Source organism: Homo sapiens, chromosome 2, assembly GCF_000001405.40.
Source record: "Homo sapiens chromosome 2, GRCh38.p14 Primary Assembly".
In the NCBI taxonomy this organism is placed as follows: domain Eukaryota; kingdom Metazoa; phylum Chordata; class Mammalia; order Primates; family Hominidae; genus Homo; species Homo sapiens.
In genome coordinates this window covers 221,792,521-221,793,956 of record NC_000002.12, presented here as the reverse complement: position 1 = coordinate 221,793,956, position 1,436 = coordinate 221,792,521, and the positions used below count along the sequence as shown (strand labels likewise).

The window sequence follows — 1,436 nt, the reverse complement described above, 5'->3', positions numbered from 1 at the left end:
AATTAATTGCTTGGAGAATAGAATTAACAAAATATGCTCCACATTTTAAAATATGAATGTGGAAACAGAAGAAACAACTTTCAGGCATGCAGAATGCATAGAAAGTTCCTGTAAAGATGGATTTTAATTCCCAATTTTAATGTGTATGTAACATGGACAATTATATCATTGGTTAAAAATATTTCTGATTTCACCATATTCAACTATGTTTAGTTTAAATAATATACTTGAAACTAACAAAACCCACGATTGCCTTTTGAGATTGCTTTTATCAGCATTTAATACTCATCCTGTTTTAAGATAATTACATGAAATAGTCACAGCTAATTAACACTGTTTCCTTAAATAAAGATTAAGTGGAAAGAATTTATCAGTGACTTTAAAATCAGATCGTTTTCTCCACTGGGTGATTCCTGGGCAGATTTTCAGCCTCTTCTTGAGTCAACAAGCATTACCTTCACTCCCCTTAAGCTGCCTTCAGCCAGAGACAGTCGGTGCAGCCAGTATTGACTTGATGTCTCCAACTATAGTGTTTGATTTTAAAGCTTTTGGCCACTGAGTGGAAGGTAGTGACAGAATAAAACACCCGGCTGGCTTTGTTCTTCCCACAGGTCCTCCCCGTCATCATGGCTACCCAGCCATGTTGGGGAAAGATAAGGGAAGAACTCCAGGAAGGAGAGCCCCTCCTTCAGTGGCTGGTCCTGAGGTTCACAAAGCAGAAGAAGGTTATAAAGATTCCAAAAGGCTGTATGAGACTTCAGGCTCCATTCCCCACCAATCCCTCCAGCAGCATTCAGCCAGACAAAGGGGTTCCTCTCAAGGAATTCAACTTGCAAATTTTGCGCCTTGCAGAGTTTGCATTGTAATTTAAGCTTCTTGTCACTGGAAGTTAATAGCTTACCATTCCCTGCAGCCTACACTGACGGAGAGCCCGGAGAAGGTGTCTAATGAATAATGTGGCACCACCCAAGGGGAGCATGAGCGTGCGCTTCCACAGAGCACTGAGAGGATTCAGACTTGCCGCTTTTTTAATAATGTCAAAAACCAAAAAACTCCTTCACTTATTCAGTAAGTGTTATATTTCCACCAAAAACTGTTTCTACAAAGTGCCTGAAAAGTTTTCAAACACACATGGCAAGTACAACATCTACCCCTTTGTGAAGGAGCTGGTAAATCTCATTTTATCCACATAAATAGTTTCCAATGAGGCCACTATGTGTAGAAACCCATATTATCGTGTGTGTGTGTGTGTGTGTGTGTGTGTGTGTGTGTGTGTGTTTTCAGAAAAGAAACTGGCTGGGGATATGAGATATCCAGTTAGTACTTTCCCTGTTCCCCATTTGAATATGTAGATGGAACCACTATAAGACATTTAATTTTATTCAAAAGGGAGAAAAGCAAAGAGGTGGCCAGGTGTATTAGTCCATTCTCACATG

The 1,436-nt window shown here is 39.9% G+C and overlaps 1 annotated feature.

Annotated features, from left to right (window-relative positions):
* Positions 655-1,188: an enhancer, noted in NCBI's record as "OCT4-NANOG-H3K27ac hESC enhancer chr2:222657489-222658022 (GRCh37/hg19 assembly coordinates)". NCBI's record gives its function as "activates a minimal SCP1, AML or CMV promoter by ChIP-STARR-seq in naive H9 embryonic stem cells {active_cell/tissue: H9 hESC(naive)}" and the evidence as "EXISTENCE:reporter gene assay evidence [ECO:0000049][PMID:30033119]".